This window comes from Homo sapiens, chromosome 3 (genome assembly GCF_000001405.40).
Source record: "Homo sapiens chromosome 3, GRCh38.p14 Primary Assembly".
Lineage (NCBI taxonomy): Eukaryota > Metazoa > Chordata > Mammalia > Primates > Hominidae > Homo > Homo sapiens.
The window spans coordinates 139,032,839-139,053,133 of record NC_000003.12 but is presented as its reverse complement, the minus strand read 5'-3'; the positions used below and the strand labels follow the sequence as shown (position 1 = coordinate 139,053,133).

The following is a 20,295-nucleotide window of genomic DNA, read 5'->3' as shown; positions in this document are numbered from 1 at the left end:
CAAAGCCTCAATAACAACCTTGAATGTAAAACAGATTAAATTCTCTACTTAAAAGATATAGAATGGCTGCTTACAATAAATGCACCTTACAGTAAAGACACATATAGACTGAAAGTAAAGAGACTGAAAAAAGATATTCCATGCAAACAGAAACCAAAAGTGAGCAAGAGTAGCTATATTTATATCTGATAAAACAGACTTCAAGTCAAGAGCAGTAAAAAGAAAAAAAAAGATGATGAAGGTCATTATATAGTTACAAAGGGATCAATCCAGCAAGAAGATATAACAATTCTAAATATCTATGCACCCAACACTGGAGCACCCAGAATTATAAAGCAAATATTACTGAATCTAAACAGAAAGCTAGACTGCAATACAATAATAGTGGACTTCAACACCCCATTCTCAGCATTACACAGATCATCTAGACAGAAAATCAACAAAGAAACATTGGATTTAAACTGGACTTTAAGACAAATGGACCTAAAAGACATTTACACAACATTCTATCCAACAATTGCAGAATATACATTCTTTTCATTAGCAAATGAAACATTCTCCAAGATAGATTATATGTTAAGCCACAAAACAAATCTAAAAAATTTTTTAAATCAAAATCATATCAAGTATCTTCTCAGACTACAATGGAACAAAACCACAAATTAATACCAAGAGGAACTTTGAAAATCATACAAATATATGAAAATTAAACGGTGTGCTCCTGAATGACCATTGGATCAATAAAGAAATAAAATTTCTTGAAACAAATGAAAATGGAAACATAACATACCAAAACCTGAGGGATACAGCAAAAGCAGTGCTAAAGGAAATTTATAGCAATAAATGCCTAATCAAAAAGGGAGAAAGGTACAAATCCACAATCTACAACCCATCGCAAGGAATTAGAAAAGCAAGAACAAGCTAATGTCAAAATTAGCAAAAGAAAAGAAATAATAAAGATCAGAGCAGAACTAAATGAAATAGAAACTAAAAATCCAACATAAAAAATCAACAAAATGAAAAATTTGTTCTTTGAAAAGATAAGCAAAATCGACAAACTGCTACCTACACTAAAAAGAGAGGACACTGGCGATTCCTCAGGGATCTAGAACTAGAAATACCATTTGACCCAGCCATCCCATTACTGGGTATATACCCAAAGGACTATAAATCATGCTGCTACAAAGACACATGCACACGTATGTTTACTGCGGCACTATTCACAATAGCAAAGACTTGGAACCAACCCAAATGTCCAACAATGATAGACTGGATTATGAAAATGTGGCACATATACACCATGGAATACTATGCAGCCATAAAAAAGGATGAGTTCATGTCCTTTGTAGGGACATGGATGAAATTGGAAATCATCATTCTCAGTAAACTATCGCAAGGACAGAAAACCAAACACCACATGTTCTCACTCATAGATGGGAATTGAACAATGAGAACACTTGGACACAAGAAGGGGAACATCACACTCTGGGGACTGTTGTGGGGTGGGGGGAGGAGGAGGGATAGCATTAGAAGATATACCTAATGCTAAATGACGAGTTAATGGGTGCAGCACACCAGCATGGCACATGTATACATATGTAACTAACCTGCACATTGTGCACATGTACCCTAAAACTTAAAGTATAATAATAATAATAAAAATAAATAAAACTAAAAAAAAAGAGAGGACACTCAAATAAAATCAGAAATGAAAAAGGAAACATCACAACTGATACCACAGAAATACAAAAGACCATCAGAAACTATTATAAACAACTACATGCTGACAAACTGGAAAACCTAGAGGAAATGGACATATTCCTGGACACATACAATCTGCCAAGATTAAATCAGGAAACAATAGAAAACCTGAATAGACCAATAATGAGTAGTGAGATTGAATCAGTAATAAAAAGTCTCACAACAAAGAAAAGTCCAAGATCTGATGGATTCACAGCCAAATTCTACCAAATATACAAAGAAGTAATACCAATCCTCCTGAAACTATTCAAAAAAATTGAAGCGGAGGGAATTCTCCCTAACTCACTATATAAGTGCAGCATCACCCTGATAGCAAAATCAGACAAGGACACAACAAAAAAGAAAATGACAGGCCCATGTCCCTAATGGACTTAGATGCAAAAATCCTCAACAAAATACTAGCCAACCAAATCCAATAGCACATTTAAAAAAAAAAAAATACACCATGATCAAGTGGAATTTATATAAAGGATTCAAGGATGGCTCAACATATGCAAATCAACAAATGTGATAAAACCGGTCAACAGAATGAAGGATAAAAATCATATGATCATCTCAATAGATGCAGAAAAAGTATTTGATAAAATTCAACATCTCTTCATGATAAAAACTCTCAACAAACTAGGCACAGAGGAATATACCTCAAAATAATAAACGCCATATGCAACACACCCACAGCTAACATTATACTGAAGGGGGAAAAATTGAATGCCTTTCCTCCGGGGACTGGAACAAGACAAGGATGCCCATTTTCACCACTCCTATTCAACATAGTACTGGAAGTTCCAGCCAGATAAATCAGGCCAGAGAAAGAAGGAAAAGCTATCTGATGTTGTATTTTGGGTATCTGTCCCCTCCAATTCGCATGTTGAAATTGGATCCCCATTGTTGGAGGCAGGGCCTGGTGGGAGGTGTTCAGGTCATAGGAGCAGATCCTTTATGAATGGCTTGGTGCCATCCTTGCAGTAATCAGTGAATTCTTGCTCTATTAGTTCCCACAAAATCTGATAGTTAAAAAGAGCCTGCCACCTCCCTTCTCTTTCTTCCTTCGTCTCACCATGTGATATCTGCTCCTCTTCATCTTCCACCATTTGTGGAAGCACCCTGATAACCCTCACCAGACACAGATGCTGGTGCCATGCTACTGCAGAACCATGAGCCATATAAACAAACCTCTTTTCATTGTAAATTACCTAGAATCAGGTAGTCTTTTATAGCAATGCCAAATGGCATTGATCATGGATATCATAGCAATGCTATATGATCCAAATTGGAAAAGAGAAAGTAAAATTGTCCCTCTTTGCTGATAATATGATCTTATATCTAGAAAAACCTAAAGATTGCACCAAAAAAACTCCTTACATTTGATAAATGAATTTAGTAAAGTTGCAGGATACACAATCAACATACAAAAATCAGGAGCATTCCTATACACCAATAATGATCTAGCCGAGAAAGAAATCAAGACGGCAATCCCATTTACAATAGGTACTAAAAAAAATTAGGCCAGGCGCAGTGGCTCACGCCTCTAATCCCAGCACTTTGGGAGGCCAAGGTGGGAGGAATACCTGAGCCCAGGAGTTTGGGACCAGCCTGGGCAACATGGTGAGACCCCATCTCTATTTTTTAAAAAAAGAAAAGAATAAAGAATAAAATAAAATAAGATACCTAGGAATAAATGTAACCAAGAAGGTTAAAGATCTCTACAAAGTGAACTACAAAACACTGATGAAAAAAATTGAAGATCATACAAATGGAAAAACATGCCACGCTCATGGATCAGAAGAACTAGTACCCTTAAATAATCACATTGGCCAGGCACAGTGGCTCATGCCTATAATCCAAGCACTATGGGAAGTTGAGGCAAGAGGATCACTTGAGATGAGGAGTTCGAGACCAACTTGGGAAACATAGTGAGACTCCATCTCTACAAAAAATTTTAAAGGTTAGCTGGATGTGGTGGCACACACTGGTAGTCCTAGCTTATCAGGAAGCTGCGGTGGGAGGATCACTTGAGCTCAGGAGTTTGAGAGTGCAATGAGCTGTGATCATGTCGCTTCACTCCAGCCTGAGCAACACAGTAAGACCCTGTCTCTAAATAAAATTAAATAAAATATAAAATGACCATATTGCCCAAAGCAATCTACAGATTGAATGCAATCCCTATTGAAATACCATCATTCTTCACAGAATTTGAAAAAAAAATCCTAAAATTTTTATAGAAACAAAAATGAGCCCAAATAGCCAAAGTCCTCAGCAAAAAGAAAAAAGCTGCAAGCATCAATCAAATTACCTGACTTAAAAATATATTACAAGGCTATAGTAACCAAAACAGCAGGGTATAGCTATAAAATAGACACATAGACCAATGGAACAGAATAGAGAACCTGGAAATAAAGCCACCATATTTACAGCCAACTGCTCTTCAACAGAGCTGACAAGAACTTACAATGGGGAAAGGGCACCTTCCTCAATAAACGGTGCCGGGAAAATAGGATAGGTACATTCCGAACAATAAAGCTAAACCCCTATCTCTCACCATATACAAAAGTTAACTCAAAATGGATTAAAGACTTAACTGTAAGACCCAAATCTACAAAATTACTGGAGAAAACTTTCCTGGACATTGGTCTAGACAAAGAATTTATCATTGAAACCTCAAAAGCATAGAAAACAAAAAAATAGACAAATGGGACTTAATTAAATGAAAAAGCCCCTGCACAGCAAAAGAAATAATCAACAAAATGAAAAGGCAACCTGTTGAATGGGAGAAAAAATTTGCAAGCTATTCATTCTACAAGGGACTAATAGATAAAATATACAAGGAACTCAAATAGCTCAACAAGAAAAAAATTGTCCCATTAAAAAGTGGGCAAAGGATATGGATAAACATTTCTCAAAAGAAGACATACAGCCAACCAGTATATGAAAAAAATGCTCAACATTAATCACCAAGAAAATGAAAATCAAAACCACAATAAGATATCATTTTACCCCAGTCAGAATGGCTATTATTAAAAAGACAAAAAATAACAGATGTGGGTGAGGATTCAGAGAAAAGAGAACTCTTGTACACTGTTTGTGGGAACGTAAACTAGTATAGCCACTATAGAAAACAGTATGGAGATTTCTCAAAATACTAAAAATAGAATTACCATTCAATCCAGCAATCCCACCATTAGGTATCTACCCAAAGGAAAAGAAATCAATATGTCAAAGAGATACCTGCACTCACATGTTTACTACAGCACAATTCACAATAGCAAAGATATGGAATCAACCTAAATGTCTATCAATGGATGAATGGATAAAGAATATATGATATATATATATATATATATATATATATATATATATATATATATATATATATCTGTCACAGTACATGGCATTCTCCCCATTTTACATATAAAGAAACTGAAGTTTAGGAGAGGTGAAGTGACTTGCCCATGATCACCCAATCAGACTGTGGCCGGCCAGGAGAGAAAACCAGATGTGTCTGCCCCAGGACCCCCGCTAACTACTTCTGTCCTGGAGCAGGACCACATTCACTTGGAAAGAGAGCTCACAGGGAGGATTTAGAGCAAGCAGAGTGTTGGGTTAAGTCACAAGGCCCAGGACACTGAGGAGCTCTCAGGTGAGACCGCTGAGGTCAGGAAAGCAGCAGACAGGAGGTGGCACCACTCAAGCCACAGGCGCCACCCTGCTCAGAGCTGGAGGCCTAGCCAGGAACCCCGAGCCCCGACCCCCTCCCAGTATGCTGACAGAATCTATGCTTGCCCATCTACCCCATACATCATGACACGTCCACCCTTGCTTCTGAATGGTGCCCCCACTGTTCTCTGCAAGAAGGTTCAAGGGTCTAGACAAAACTCTACTGGACCAAAGCAGGCAGTTTCCTGCAGGCTCCACCCCCACCGCCTTCTGCCTGGATGCTTGCGCTGAGCTGCTGTTTCTTTCACCTAGGAGCTGGAGGCGGGTTCTGGCTGCACCCACACTCTCCTGGCGGGAGGTGTCCGCAGGAACCACAGGTTCCCAGCAGGGCCACCATCCAACACAGCCCTGGACCCTGGTTACCCCGGCCAGTGCCCAGTCTCAGGCCACTCGATCCCAGGAGAATTCCCCACCACGCAACCACTGGACAGCCACCGGAAATCCACCCGAAGCGGGCCAGCTGTGCTAAGAAAAGCATTGAACACAGCCAGAAAGTTGGAGTTCCCTCCATAACACTGACACCAACAAGCAGGTCCCTGATCACAAGCATAAGCCACCGGGCTTCATGAACTCCTCAACTGAGAAATGAAAACAAGTTCAATGATCTTGAACTTTGGAGTAAAATAGAATTTTTTAGAGGTGCTCACATAGATTACCTAATCCCCACGTTCCAAGAATTGTAATTCAGTCGCTCTGGGATGGGGCAAATAATCTGCATTTTCCATGAACCTACCAGAGGATGACAGTGCCACCAAGTGATGACAGACCACTGTCCAGCAAGAGAGACTTGATTTAAATGTAAAGACTATCCAAAGGAATGCTATGCAACCCTAAAAAAGAATAAATTTTGTAGAAAGGGGAGGGAGATAAATAACATGTATGAGATTTGCTTTTAAATGCCCAAGAATATTTTGGAATGATAAAATGTAATAATGGTTCCCGCCAAGGTGGGATCATCACATGCTTAGCAAAGATGTCAGGAAATGCTTTGTTGTCCCCTGTAAGCACTTGAAAATATTACTATTCCAAAATCAGTGCTGAGTATTTTCTCCTATTAACACTAGTTGAGCTACACCTTCCCTTTTACCGCCTGGACACGTGACGTAGAGGTGCCTTTCAGCTGACACAGGTCAAAAACGCTGACATTGTGTAGGTCTATCACCTTAAATGGAGCTGGACAAGCCAGACCCCGCTCTGGTAGTTACTGGCTCTTGGGCAAGTTGGCTAACCTTTCTGCATGACATTTTCATCATCCATAAATTGGGCTAAAACAGATAGACCTCAGAGCTGTAGTTTAGGTCAAATTAGATAAAGTTAACCATACTTCAGCTGATTGTAACATAATAGAGTCGGCCCTCTGGATCCGCAGGTTTCGAATTCGCAGATTCAACCAACAGAAGACCAAAAATATTCGGGAAAAAAAAGGAAAATAACACAATAAAAAATATATATCACTTTGGGAGGCCAATGCGGGTGGATCAAAAGGTCAGGAGATCGAGACCATCCTGGCTAACACGGTGAAACCCCGTCTCTACTAAAAATACAAAAAAATTAGCCGGGTGAGATGGCGGGTGCCTGTAGTCCCAGCTACTCGGGAGGCTGAGGCAGGAGAATGGCGTGAACCCGGGAGGCGGAGCTTGCAGTGAGCCGAGATCCTGCCACTGCACTCCAGCCTGGGCGACAGGGCGAGACTCCGTCTCAAAAAAAAAAACAAAAAACAAAAAAAACCCATATATATAAGGTCAGGCACAGTGACTCACGCCTGTAGTCCCAGCACTTTGGGAGGCCAAGGCGGGTGGAATGCTTGAGCCCAGGAGTTCGAGTCCAGCCTGGGCAATATGGCAAAACCCCGTCTCCACAAAAAATACAAAAATTAGCCGAGTGTGGTGGCACGTGTTTGTAATCCCAGCTTGTCAGGAAGCTGAGGTGGAAGATCACCTGAGCCCAGGAGGTGGTGGTTGCAGTGAGCAGAGATTGCACCAAAGCACTCCAGCCTGGGCAACAGAATGAAACCCCATCTCAGAAACAAACAAACCATATATATATGAAACTCTGTGTAGCAACCAGGGGTATAGCATTTACATTGTATTAGGTACTATAAGTATTCTAGAGATGCTTTAAAATACACGGAAGGATGTAAGTGATATGCAAATGTACACCATTTTATATGAGACTTGAGCATCTGTAGATTTTGGTATCCATGCGGGAGTCCAGGAACCAATCCTCCAGGGATATCAAGGGAAGACTGTAATTACTATAGTACCAACTATCATAATAAACAGATAATGCAGGACCTGCCATTGTCACGCAGGATCTCAGCTTTACCCTCCCTTCCAAGACCCCTAAAAGGATATTACATCGATGTACAAGATAGGAGAACTCAAAAACGCACGCCACTATCCGTCAATAGTAACGCGCAGGGCACTTCCGGGACGGGGCCTGGGAATATGGGTTTAGGATTCGGTGTCCTGGTTTGGCACTCCACTAGTGTTACTTGAACCTGAATCGCTCTTCAACTCCGCGTCTGACGTCAACGCAAAGGACAAGAACTTGATACTGGAAGCCAGGCCCTAGAGCGGCACAGATGCTCGGCCCCCTAGCGGCCCGTAAGAGTATTTCCCCAGCGTGACCGACCAACCACAGCCACCGACCAACCACAGCCACCGCTATTGGGCAGCAGGTGTACCTCCGCCTCTAGGGCGGGTCCTCCAGGGGGCAGAGGATTGCGTGACATTTTGCGACTTCGGTTCCGCTGCCGTCATTTACAACATAATTGGCTTTGCAGTGCGCATCCGGGTCTGCGTCAGGAAGGCCCAAGTTTCCATCGCGCGAGGCTGAGCCACACAGCGTGCGAGGTTCCCCCAGCAGCAGCACCGACTCCGATCTCCGGGAGGCGCCCCCAGAGCTCCGAGGACTCGCCCCGCGTCGCGCGGTCCTGCCGACACCTGTTACCTCAAAGAGGACTTCGCCGCCCCGAGCCCCCCGCACCCACGTCCCCTGCCAGGCCCAGGAGCGCCGTCCGCAGCGCCGTCGAGGTGATGGGCAGCCGGCCCTGCAGCCCCAGCGCCTGCCTTGCGCCCTGGTGGGGACAGCAGCCAGGAGGACCAGGCCCTGCCAAGCGCAGCCGATTGGAGGAGCCCGCGGGCCCCGAATCCCGAGCGGCGCCCAGCCCGGAAGACCCGGCGGGGACCCCGGCCGTGGACGCGCTCACCTCCATGGTGGTCCTGGACGCGGGCTGTGCCCTGCGTGTGCCCCTGGAGGACGTCGACCTGGTGCTGGAGCTCGCGCCAATGTCGGTCCTGCGAGTGTCTCTTGGTGGACACACCCTCATCGTGATCCCCGAGGTCCTCCTGAGCTCCGTCGACGAATGCTCAGGAGCGCAGGGCGACTGGTCTGCCGGCCTGGAAGTGGACGTTTTCCTGGGCGCTCACGGGGAAGACGTCGTCGTCGAGCAGGAAGTCTGCGCATCTGTCCCAGAGATCGCTGCCGAGGAAGAGGCCTACGAGGAGGACGCGGACTCTGAGTTCCCGGAGCTCTGGATGGACTCCGCAGCCGGCTCAGCCGCTGGGCTCTACCCCTCCGCTAGAAGTATGTTCAGCCCCTACCGGGAGGGCCCCATCCGAGGGCCCTGTGCTCTGGCCCCCAACCCCAGTTCAGAGAGACGCTCTCCACGCCCCATCTTCGACCTGGAATTCCATCTTCTGGAGCCTGTCCCCAGCTCACCTCTCCAACCTCTACCTCCCTCTCCGAGTCCAGGTCCCCACGCGCGCCCGGAGCTCCCAGAGCGCCCTCCGTGCAAGGTCCGAAGACGCCTGTTCCAGGAATGAGTTGCCTCCCACAATCCCTTGCCACCCTGCTGGGCTCCAGGAGACCGTCTCCTGATAGCCGTTGTGTGTATGTTGCGCAACCTACAAGGATCTCGGAGAGTGGATAACGGATAGATGCTTTTTTGATACAGGCTGCGTTGCAGAATTCTGGATCAGTGGCTGACTTAGAAAGTCTGGAAAAAAAAGATCCTCCTCCTCAGCATAAAAATACGCTAGTTGAAATACAGTCTACTTTCAGACTGTGAGATTGCTGCTTCGGGCCTGTTTTGTTTGGAAGTCACCCCTAGGCAGCTCCATTCCCCCTGGTTTTGCTTTGAACCTCAGTTCCAGCACATTTCTCTAAAAATCCGCCCTTTCCCCAGCACGTTACCATGGCACACCTTTTCTCCCAAGTTAATTTACTACATTTATTTTGTTTAATGGGTTTTGGCCCTAGTCTCTGGGCTAGTTTATGACGACCTTCTCAACATGGAATTTTTCCCTATGGTGGCCTGAGCCCTTTTGGGTGATCTTGCACATAGTTGTACCTGGACAAATGTTTGTTGTTTGCAAAACAGACCGAACTGGGAATAATGATCATGTACCCTCCTTTTTTTCATGATTGGTTTAGCAAATTGTTTATGTTATTGGGCTTTATTTCCCCCCTAACTCTTAGAGCCAGCTCTTTTCCATTCATTTCTTCTTCTATGTTTTTAATATAATTATTTTATCCTGGAAAAGCTTATAATTCTAAGACTCTGTGTGTGTATGTGTGTGTGTGTTGTTTGTTTGTTTGTTTTTTGAGACAAGAGTTTCACTCTTGTTGCCTAGGCTGGAGTGCAATGGCACAATCTCAGCTCACTGCAACCTTTGCCTCCCAGGTTCAAGCAATTCTCCCGCCTCAGCCTCCCAGGTAGCTGGGATCACAGGCATGCGCCACCACACACGACTAATTTTGTATTTTTAGTAGAGACGGGGTTTCACCATGTTGGCCAGGCTGGTCTCGAACTCCTGACTTCAGGTGATCCATCCACCTCAGCCTCCCAAAGTGCTGGGATTACAGGCACGAGCCATCGCACCCAGCCGGAAATAATTTGTTTCTTAGGTTGATGTATCAAATGCAATTACTGAATTTCTTTAATGGTGTATGTGTAGATTCTCAATTGATTGATTGATTGATTGATAAAAACAATATCTCCAAATAATGAGAATATTGTCTTTTTTGACAAGCTTCATACATCTTATTTTTCTTTAATCTTTTATATTGGACATTACTTCAAGTCCAGATTGAACAGTATGGTTAATATGGGCATTCCTGTTTTATGCCTTGTGTTAATGCTTCTAAATTTTACCATAAAGTATGATCTTTACATGGTTGTTAGATAACCCTTAATCTATTGAAGCAGTTAATTTTCAGTCTTTCAGATCATGAAAAACTGTTGAATTTTTGCTTTGTTTTTGCCTGTTACTACAAAGATGTTATCAAGTTGTTTTAAATGTTGACATTTAATTATTTGTGTGTATACAATAATACAATACAATAGCTAGATGGAACCTTTGGGCCACAAGAGTACGTACAGAAACCTGGCAAGAGCGCTAATGAGACCAGGCTTTGGGCTTCAGGGATTTAAAACAATTGGATGCTTTATGAGGACTTGAGAAGACACAAGTGGAAGGAGAAAGGCAGTAACTGTAGGGTGCATTTAAGGTTTTAAATGTTAAAAATTAAAGAAACTTTTTTTTCTGTATGCATAAGATGACTTTTTGTAATTTCTTTCTTAATCAACTCATGGTGATTTGTGCTAATAGAATTTCTAACTACTAAGTATCTTTGCATTTCTGCTATTCTACAGTATTTTATATGATTCTAACTCCACCTTGGTTTGTTTTTTGCCTTTTTTTGAATGTTTAGTTTGTTTGTTTTACATAACCATATACAGCACTAATTTTTTTTATTATACTTTAAGTTCTGGGGTACATGTGCAGAATGTGCAGTTTTGTTACATAGGTATACATGTGCCATGGTGGTTTCCTGCACTCATCAACCCGTCATCTACACTAGGTATTTCTCCTAATGTTATCCCTCCCCTATCTCCCCACCCACCGACAGGCCCCAGTTTGTGATGTTTCCCTCCCTGTGTCCATGTGTTCTCATTGTTCAACTACCATTTATGAGTGATATCATGCGGTGTTTGGTTTTCTGTTCTTGTGATAGTTTATACAGCACTAATTTTAAAATGTCATTATTTTGCCAGGTTCGCCTCATTTTTATAATGAAATAAATTATTGCTGATAAAGTTAAAGCCAATGAGATGCTAGGTTTTTTTTCTGTTGAATATCAATAATTATTATTTAGATTTTCCAACATGCTTTACCATTTAATTTGCTCACTTTCTATTCCTACATTCCACTCCTTTATTCTGGCCTCATTTGTCTTCCTTCCATGGTATACTTTTTAAGAATTCTTTCAGCCGTGGTTTATGTGGTAAATCTTGGGTTCGTATGTCTGCAAATATTTAAATTACACCTTCAAACTTGTAGTATTGTAGCTGGGTTTGGAATTCTAAAATAAATCCTATACTCTCTCACTACTTTAAAGATAATTCTATTATTTTACATGACATTTATTGTTGCAGGTGAGAAGTTGTCATTTGCATTGCCATTCCTTTAACAGGATTAGGCTGCTTACACTAGTATTTTTCTTGACTTTGATGCCCTATGGTTTCATTAAACCTGATGTGTTTGTTGGTAGACTTTTGCCAGCTGCAACTCAGTGAGCTTTCTATAGATGGGAAGTTAATTCTTCCATAAGATCTCAAAAAATATATATCTCTTGCACATTTAAACCTCTCTCCAATCTCTGAAACTCCTAATAGAGAAATTGTGCTGCTTAATCAATGCCCTCTCCCAGATCTCTTAATATCTATATTTTCATATCCTGTATCATAGCACACTTTCGCTCTTCCAATTAACTGATTCTGTCATTGTCTGTTTTCAGAATTCATTTATTGTTCTTTATAAGACTTTATTTCAAATACTGCATTTTTCATTTTTAAGACTTCTGATTACTTGGGTTTTTAATATCTATATGCTCTTATTTCACAACTTCTGATCAATGTCATATAAATTTTTCTAGTTTCACGGATGTTATCTCCTCCTTTATCTCTAGAAGAAATTAAACACTCTTATTTTAAATTCTATATTAATTAGCTCAATAATTATATTTCCTCAGGCATAACATCTCCAATTATTTGATAGCATTTAATGACACTGATTTTCCCCTGGGCAAAAATTTGGTATGTGGACATATTTTGAATGTGCATTCATTTTCTGTTCCAAATTTGTTTTGTTTTTTAGAGACAGGGTCTCACTCTGTCTCTCAGGCTGGAGTGCAGTGCTCACTGCAGCCTTGACCTCTCATGCTCAAGCAATCCTCCCATCTCAGCCTCCCCAGTAGCTGGGGCTACAGGAACATGCCACCACACCTGGCTAATGTTTTATATTTTTATTTTTTGTAGAGAGAATCTTCTCTGTTGCCCAGGCTGATCTCAAACTCCTGGGCTCAAGCGATCCTCCTACCTTGGCCTCCCAAAGTAGTGGGATTACAGGCATGTCTGCTCCTTATTTGAATTTTACATTTGCCTCTTTCTTGCTCCCTAGGAGTCAAGACTCAGAGCCAAACATTATGGAGCTCATATGATTTGCAACTCAAAAATCACAGTTCCCATCCTCAAGTAATCATACATGGCCCAACTTCCAATTTCAATGCAGTAGTGACACTGGGCTGGACTGTCCATAGTCCCAATCCCATCAAGACTGCTGGGAGTATTAGCAGCTAAATTCAGTTGTTCTCCAGGAATTACCCTCAGCCTCTGTGGGTAATTCATGCCAATAACTGTTCAATTAGAGGGTATACAGGTCCAGCTCACTTGCTTTAAGTTGAGACAACTCTGAAGAATCATCCCAATTCTAGGGCTCTCAGTGAGTTGGCTGAGGCTTTGTTGCAGCTGCATCCCAGTTCAATCCTCCATCTGTCCTGTCACATTTTCTTTGTTCCCCAAAATTTCTGCATGCAAATCTCCATTGCAAAGTCTTCCCAAGCCAATTTAAGATAGCTGGTGCCAGGGGCTGTCATAGGAAGTAGCCACTAAAATGGATTTCAGAGCTGAATCATGGAGCATGAATAGCCCATGGCATGTTACAGGAAAGCAAATAAGATCTTAATCAATGGCAAACTAACTGGGAATGTGGAAGAAGGCAACATACTGGCATTGGCAGAATCCCAGGCATTAGAAAAATTGGGGGCACAGAGTAATTATATGCATGATAGTTATAAATAATGGGGAATTGAATAGCTGTTTCTGGGACAATAAATGCATTTGAGAAAGAAAGTGAAAGTCGGAGGGTGATTAATTACCAATAAAACCCAAATATGAAATCTAGACACATTCCTTGGCAGCATACAAATAGCCTTTCATCTCCTGTAGCTAACGGGGGGAAACACAACTGAGGATCTGGCCCAGAGTTTACTGCAAGGATAGTGGCAGTATAAAGGCTGAATCCTCAAACTAGGAAAGTCTGTAATGGTAAGGTCCCAGCCCAGACTGAGCCCTGAAACACTGGATGAAGATAACCAAGTAGATTCACTTGAATATCTTGAATCCCAAACCCCCTTCAATCCTCTTGGCCTGTAGAAGTGGCCTACTCCTCTCTATTAAAGGTTGGCACTCCATCCTTGCATAAGATGTTGCAGAAGCCTCTGCCTAGCAAGATAACATGCACCCACCTCGAGAACTACCTCCTCTTTGCCACAGGCCAGTAACTAAAGCATGTTATAACCCAGCCAGGGAAATACTGGCCTGTAACTAAGGAAAGGGGCTCTATATGCCCTAGAATTGCTGTGGGTGTCACCCAACATATAACAGCAGGAGTCAAGTATAAGAGTGAGAATGCTGGATGTTAGCCTAGAGAAGGGAGAGTTTCTCAATTTAGAAGCACTCTCCCAAGATACATGATTTAACACCGTAGCAAGGATGCTGTAAGAGAGTGCTAACAATCTGATGGGTGGATCTTGCAGGGTTAGAGAAAAAGATGTCCCATACTACGTTAAGTAGGAATGCCATAACTGCCAAGGCAGACAGCAGAGAAAAGGATCAAAACATCCAGAGAAGTGGATATGATACAGTGCACATACTACCTAAGGCTGTAAAATACATCAGCTACTATGATGTGTGGGAGGGCCTCAAGGGACATTGCATAACAAACAAATGCCCTAGAGAGGCACTGGGGTCATTGAGAAACCCATTAGGCCAAGGTAAGGGCAGGAAATGCCATTAGAGAGCTGAACTCCTTGGTAGCCAAGGGGATAATGGGATCTGAGAGACCGAAAATACAAATGAACAATGTCCAGACCACACATGACAGTAGAAATCTTACCCATAACCTCTGCAGCAACTATCCCAGAAGCCAAACCATAGTCTCTGCAGTAACTGGCCCCAAAATGGTCCAGACTTGTTCAATAACTGCCAGGTGTTCTAATTCTCACCCTCACTTCCAACTCAGGACCAACCAGAAAAAGCCAAATATGCTATGCCTAAGATACAAGGTGCACAAACCAACCAATCACATAGGATGCCCCACCTCTAGTTAGTCCACCTCCAGCTTCCCTATGCCAGCAACTTCCAATCAGACATATCTGAAGCCTTCCCCTTTTTCACTATAAAATTTTCCAACTCACCTGCCTGCCAATAAGTCTCTATCAAATGCAAGTGATGGGGCTAACTCCCTTGCTATAGAAAGCTCTAAATAAATTGCCTCTGCTTGTTCCCATTTAGGTGGTCTTCGCTTATTTTCCATTTTTTTGTGAGATATGGTACACACAGCCCAGTGTGGTAAGTCAGCACTAGGTCTGAACTCTTTCTTTGCATTGAGTTCCCTGTCCATTTACTCTCAGTTTGGTATCCACGTTTCGTTATCAGTTCCATTTGTTCGGCAGCCTTGATGGAATCAAACCATTTCTTTTCATCTCCTTTTACTCGCTTTTGTGTTTCCATTTTGTGTTGTATGGTCTAAAACTGTTGTTTATCACAAGAAAGAAAATCGCAGGGTACAACACAGTCATAGGCTCTACACGCCTGTTGTTTGAGCCAGCCTCACAGTCCGGTGAGTTGGGCAGGCCTCACAGTCGGTGAGTTTGCAGTTCTCACCAGATAAGCTTCCATTTGGACAAACTTTTCTGTGGATTATCAATAAAAGTGGGTGAGGTTTTCCTGTTTTTATGTTTTGTTTTTAGAGCTTGGCTTTGATCCAGAAAGTGTTCTCTCTGGTTTTCCATCTACCACAGTCCACATTCAGAGGCACTGACTATCAGTTTGGGAGCCTCTGACACAGAAGCACCAGCACCACATTTTGCTGACCATCACCATCTCTTATGGAGTTATCTAAGTCTAAATCCTCTCCTTTTACAGAAAAAAATGCCTGCTTCTTATATGTGTTCTCATTTAGAATCCTAATTCTTGTCCCTGTCTTTCTAAATGGCATAATTTTACCAAGGGTGATGTGAGCCTTTAATGGCTACTGTGGAGAACATTTAACTTGAAATCATTCACTTGAGAGGCACCTTAGAAAAAAATGGAAATAAAATTTCTCATGTTCAATGAGCAGCATTTTTAGTTATATAGAGGTCTCCAGATGAAACTCTAAATCGAAAATGGCTTCATTAAAAGATTATTTGGCCAAAGCTAATGTGCAGTTTGACAACAATGAACTAGATTCATTTCCCTGGTAAATCCTCTGTCCTCGTCCACCAGTTCCCTCTCTATAACCAGATCTCCCTCTGCCCCTTATCCTCCCAATCTCTCTCCTTCTATACCTCCATCAACTCCTCCCTCCAGTTGTCCTTGTTCAGGCCCCCTACCTTTTCCCAACAACTTTCTCCAAAACCTAAAATGCCAGTTGCCTCTTAAGACCCATCCCTCCATGAACCAGGTATTCAGACAACTGGCGAATTTAAAGCTTGGACCTGAGCGGAATTAAGAGCTGTAAGTTTCCCTAAATGCAGACAAGACTAGTAAATATTCATAGAATAGTTTAAAATCCTTTTGGGTACACCTGACCCAGAATTACCTGACTTATATCAACTCATACACATATGGGTCAGAACCACAGATGCTAAATCCTAGATGGCAAAAGTTGATTGGACTGACCCAGAGGACCTACAGGATATCTCTTTCCATAAAAAACCTGCAGTTCAGAAAAACCCTGAAAAGTAAGGTGAAGTCTCCGAGAAGCCATACCCAAAACACTTCCAATAAAAATTAATGCAAGGGCTACCATTTCTACATTAAATACTGTGCCTTTGTGCTCTCTTCTTCAGAGTAATGGTACTGCACAGGTGGCAGGCATTTCAAATAACACAAATTTTCCCTGTCTTCCAGCCTTTAACTGTAACCCTTGGGCCTTTGCCTGGAAATATTCCTTCTTGTTCTGTGATAATACACCTGCAAATTTAATAAGGAGAGATATACTTTATACATGAGATTGCAATCATAAATGCACACCAGAGGGAGCATTTCTTAAGTTTCCAGAGGACTCCTCTATTCATAATCAAGTTGTGTTTGTTCTGAATATACCTTTGCATTCTGTATTTTATTTGATGCATACCCCAGATAAAGATCTTGACACTATTCCATGACCTTCTATGGGCTAAAAATTTCACTGGCATAGGAAAAATAACGAGAGCAGAATCTATAAAAGTTCAGATAGATCCTACCAAGCCATTACTCAAACTTCTCCAATATCCCTTGAAGCCAAAGGAAGGGCTCAAACTATGGTTAAAGGCCTTACATACAAAAGTCTTCTCATACTCTGCACTAGCCGTTGTAACACTCCCATCCTCCGAGTAAAGAAACAAAGCGACAAAGATACCAATTTGTTCAAGACCTCAAGGCCATCAACAAAATCGTTATACCTCATTTCCTGATAGAACTTGACCCAATTTGTTCAAGACCTCAAGGCCATCAAGAAAATCATTATACTTCATTTCCTGATAGAACTTGACCCAAATACCATTCTGTCATAAATTTCCACCTGAAGTTATTTGCTTCACAGTATCGGATCTTTGCTCTGCCTCTTTCAGTGTACTTCTGAATAAGGATAGTCAATACCTTTTTGCATTCACCTAAGGCGGACAATAATGTACTTAGACAGTCATACCCCAGGAGTTCACTAGAGCCCCCTCCAATTTTCCCAGGTCTTCAATCAAGACTTAAAAGACCTAAAATTTCCCCTTGCGATTCAGTTCTGACATAAAATGTAAATGATATCCTACTTTATTCAGAGAACAAGGAAGTCTATAAAAAGGATTCCGTTTAGTTGCCCCTAGCCTTAGCAGAAAAGAAACATAAACGTTTCAAAAGATAACTTACAATTTTTTCCAAACTGCAGCCTATTATTTAGAGCATGACCTAACTGAGGAAGATAAACCATTCTCTACTGATACGCTAAAGACTATCCAAAAATATTCTAGACCCCTCACAAAAGACAACTAAGAGTATTTTGGAGTTTAACTGGATATTACAGACAATGAGTGCCAAATTTTTCTAGGATTGAAATACCGTTTTATGAATTGACTAAGTCCTCAGTAAGAGACCCTCTCCTAAGGAAATCAAAAGTGAACAGGTTTTCTGTAACCTGAAAAAGACGTTCAACAGCCTCTTTCTCTAGGCATCCCAAACTACAAAAATCTCTTTGTCTATTTGTGCATAAGCAATCCGGACAAGCCCTTGGGTTTTAACGCAAATTGATAGGAACCACTAAAAACATATTGCTCCAAAAACTGGAAGCAACCAAGCTGTCCTTCAATAGGTAGATGGATAAACAAACTGTAGTTCATCCATACAATGAAATATTATTCAGCTATAAAAAGAAATGATCTATCAAATCATGAAAAGGTACGGGGAAGTCTTAAAATGCATATTACTAAGTGAAAGAAACTAATCTGAAAAAGCTACATACTCTATGACATTCTGGAAAAGATGAAACTGTGGAAACAGTAAAAATATTAGTGGTTGTCAAGTGTTTGGAGGTGAAAAGAGGAGTGAATGGGTGGAACACAGAGGACCTCTAGGGGGATGAAACTATTCTGGATAATACTATGATGGTAGATATAGGACGTTATGCATTTTTCAAAACTCATAGAACTGTACAACACAAAGAGTGAACTTCAGTGTAAACTATGGACTTTAGCTAATAATGATGTATCAGTATTGGCTTACGAATTCTAACAAGGGTCTCATGGCAATGCAAGAGTTAATAGAAGGGGAAACTGTGAGGGGGAGGGATGGTATATGGAAATTCCTTGCTATCTACTCAATTTTCTGTAAACCTAAAACTGTTGCAAAAAGTCTTCTTAAAATCTATATTTAAAAAAATAAGAAAAAAGATCCTTTAGAGAAGTTAACTTCAAGGATAATATTTTTAAATGATCTTACATTAAAAACCAGGTTGATACCCTCACAGCATAAAATAAAGGGGACTTGCTTGATGTACAATAAATGGGACTCTGTTAGAAGTTCGAGGCAAGCTCTACACATCACTAAAATGGCCATCTCAGTGCTTAGTGTGCCTTGTTGATGAAACCAGGAACTAGTTATTCTAACTTGTGTCCTCTACTACCCCTGACTCTCAAAAACAAAACAAAATGAACAGAAACATTGCTTACTATAGCTTCACCCTTGACCCAGTTTGAAAGGCTCATCCCTCTTGTCTTAGGGCAATTGCGGTCCTAATACCTGAAAAAATTATTACAGCTTCTGCTGAGCTAGTTCTAGCCTCCCAACTTGAGTTTAGGGTTCCTCATGCAGTATAGACCTTACTACTGACAGAATGAATACACAACACTTTTCAGGCAGCCAATTAATATCTTTTTTTTTTTTTTTTTGAGACAGGGTCTAGCTCTGTCACCCAGGCTGGAGTGCAGCAGTGTGATCCTGATCACTGCAACCTCCGCCTTCCAAGTTCAAATGATTCTCCCACCTCAGCCTACGGAGTAGCTGGCACCACAGGCACGTGCCACCATGCCCAGCTAATTTTTGGGTTTTGTTTGTTGGTTTTTGGTTTCTGGTTTTGAGACGGAGTTTCACTCTTGTCGCCCAGGCTGGAGTGCAATGGCACGATCTCGGCTCACTGCAACCTCCACCTCTCAAGTTCAAGGGATTCTCCTGCCTCAGCCTCCCGAGTAGCTGGGATTATAGCCGCGTGCCACCATATGTGGCTAAGTTTTGTATTTTTTAGTAGAGAGAGAGTTTTGCCAAGTTGTCCTGGCTGATCTGGAACTCCTGGGCTCAAGCGATCCGCCAGTCTCGGCCTCCCAAAGTGCTGGGATTACAAGCGTGAGCCACTGCGCCCAGCCTTAATATCTTAAGAAATTCTATTACTCATTGCCTCAACATTACAATTCACCACGGCAACACTCACTCTGAATCCTACCTCTCTTCTGCCTCTACCTAAAGAAAGGGAGGCTGGGTTTGGTGGCTCATGCCTACATTCCCAACACTTTGGGAGGCAAAGGCAGGAGAACCACTTGAGCACAGGAGTTCAAGACCAGCTTGGGCAACATATGGAAACCCGACCTTGTCTCTACAAAAAAATAAAATATTAACTGGGCATGATGACTCATATCTGTAGTCTTAGCTACTCAGGAGGCTGAGGCAGGAGGATCACTTGAGTCCAAGAGGTCAAGGTTGCTATGAGCTATGGTCATGCCACTGCACTCCAGCCTGGGTGACAGAGTGAGGCCTTGTCTCAAAACAAAAAAAGAAAAAGAAAAGGAGCCTCAAGATTGTCTTCCTTAGGGAATTCTCTGTACCTTACTCAGACTGATTAAAGACTCCTCTACAGAACCTTGACCTAATATTATTTCTAATCTTATTTGTTGATGGCTCATACCTCAAAAGTGAAACTGGAAGTTATCAACCAGGATATGCAGTCACTAATCTAAGCTCTCTTTGAGTAA

At 41.8% G+C, this 20,295-nt stretch overlaps 1 protein-coding gene across 1 annotated transcript, besides 2 other annotated features; it reads left to right on the top strand.

The window, feature by feature from the left end:
- Positions 5,236-5,436: a silencer, noted in NCBI's record as "peak4845 fragment used in MPRA reporter construct". NCBI's record gives its function as "represses an SCP1 promoter by STARR-seq MPRAs in K562 erythroleukemia cells {active_cell/tissue: K562}" and the evidence as "EXISTENCE:reporter gene assay evidence [ECO:0000049][PMID:32103011]".
- Positions 5,639-5,892: a silencer, noted in NCBI's record as "fragment chr3:138766084-138766337 (GRCh37/hg19 assembly coordinates)". NCBI's record gives its function as "represses an EF-1alpha promoter that drives an FKBP-Casp9 reporter gene in an ReSE screen in HepG2 liver carcinoma cells {active_cell/tissue: HepG2}" and the evidence as "EXISTENCE:reporter gene assay evidence [ECO:0000049][PMID:32094911]".
- Positions 8,242-11,032, top strand: PRR23C (proline rich 23C). Its single transcript, NM_001134657.1, has one exon. It carries the CDS (start codon positions 8,514-8,516, stop codon positions 9,300-9,302), a length of 789 nt encoding a protein of 262 aa, NP_001128129.1. The 5' UTR covers positions 8,242-8,513; the 3' UTR covers positions 9,303-11,032.
- Positions 11,033-20,295: the final 9,263 nt, after the last annotated feature.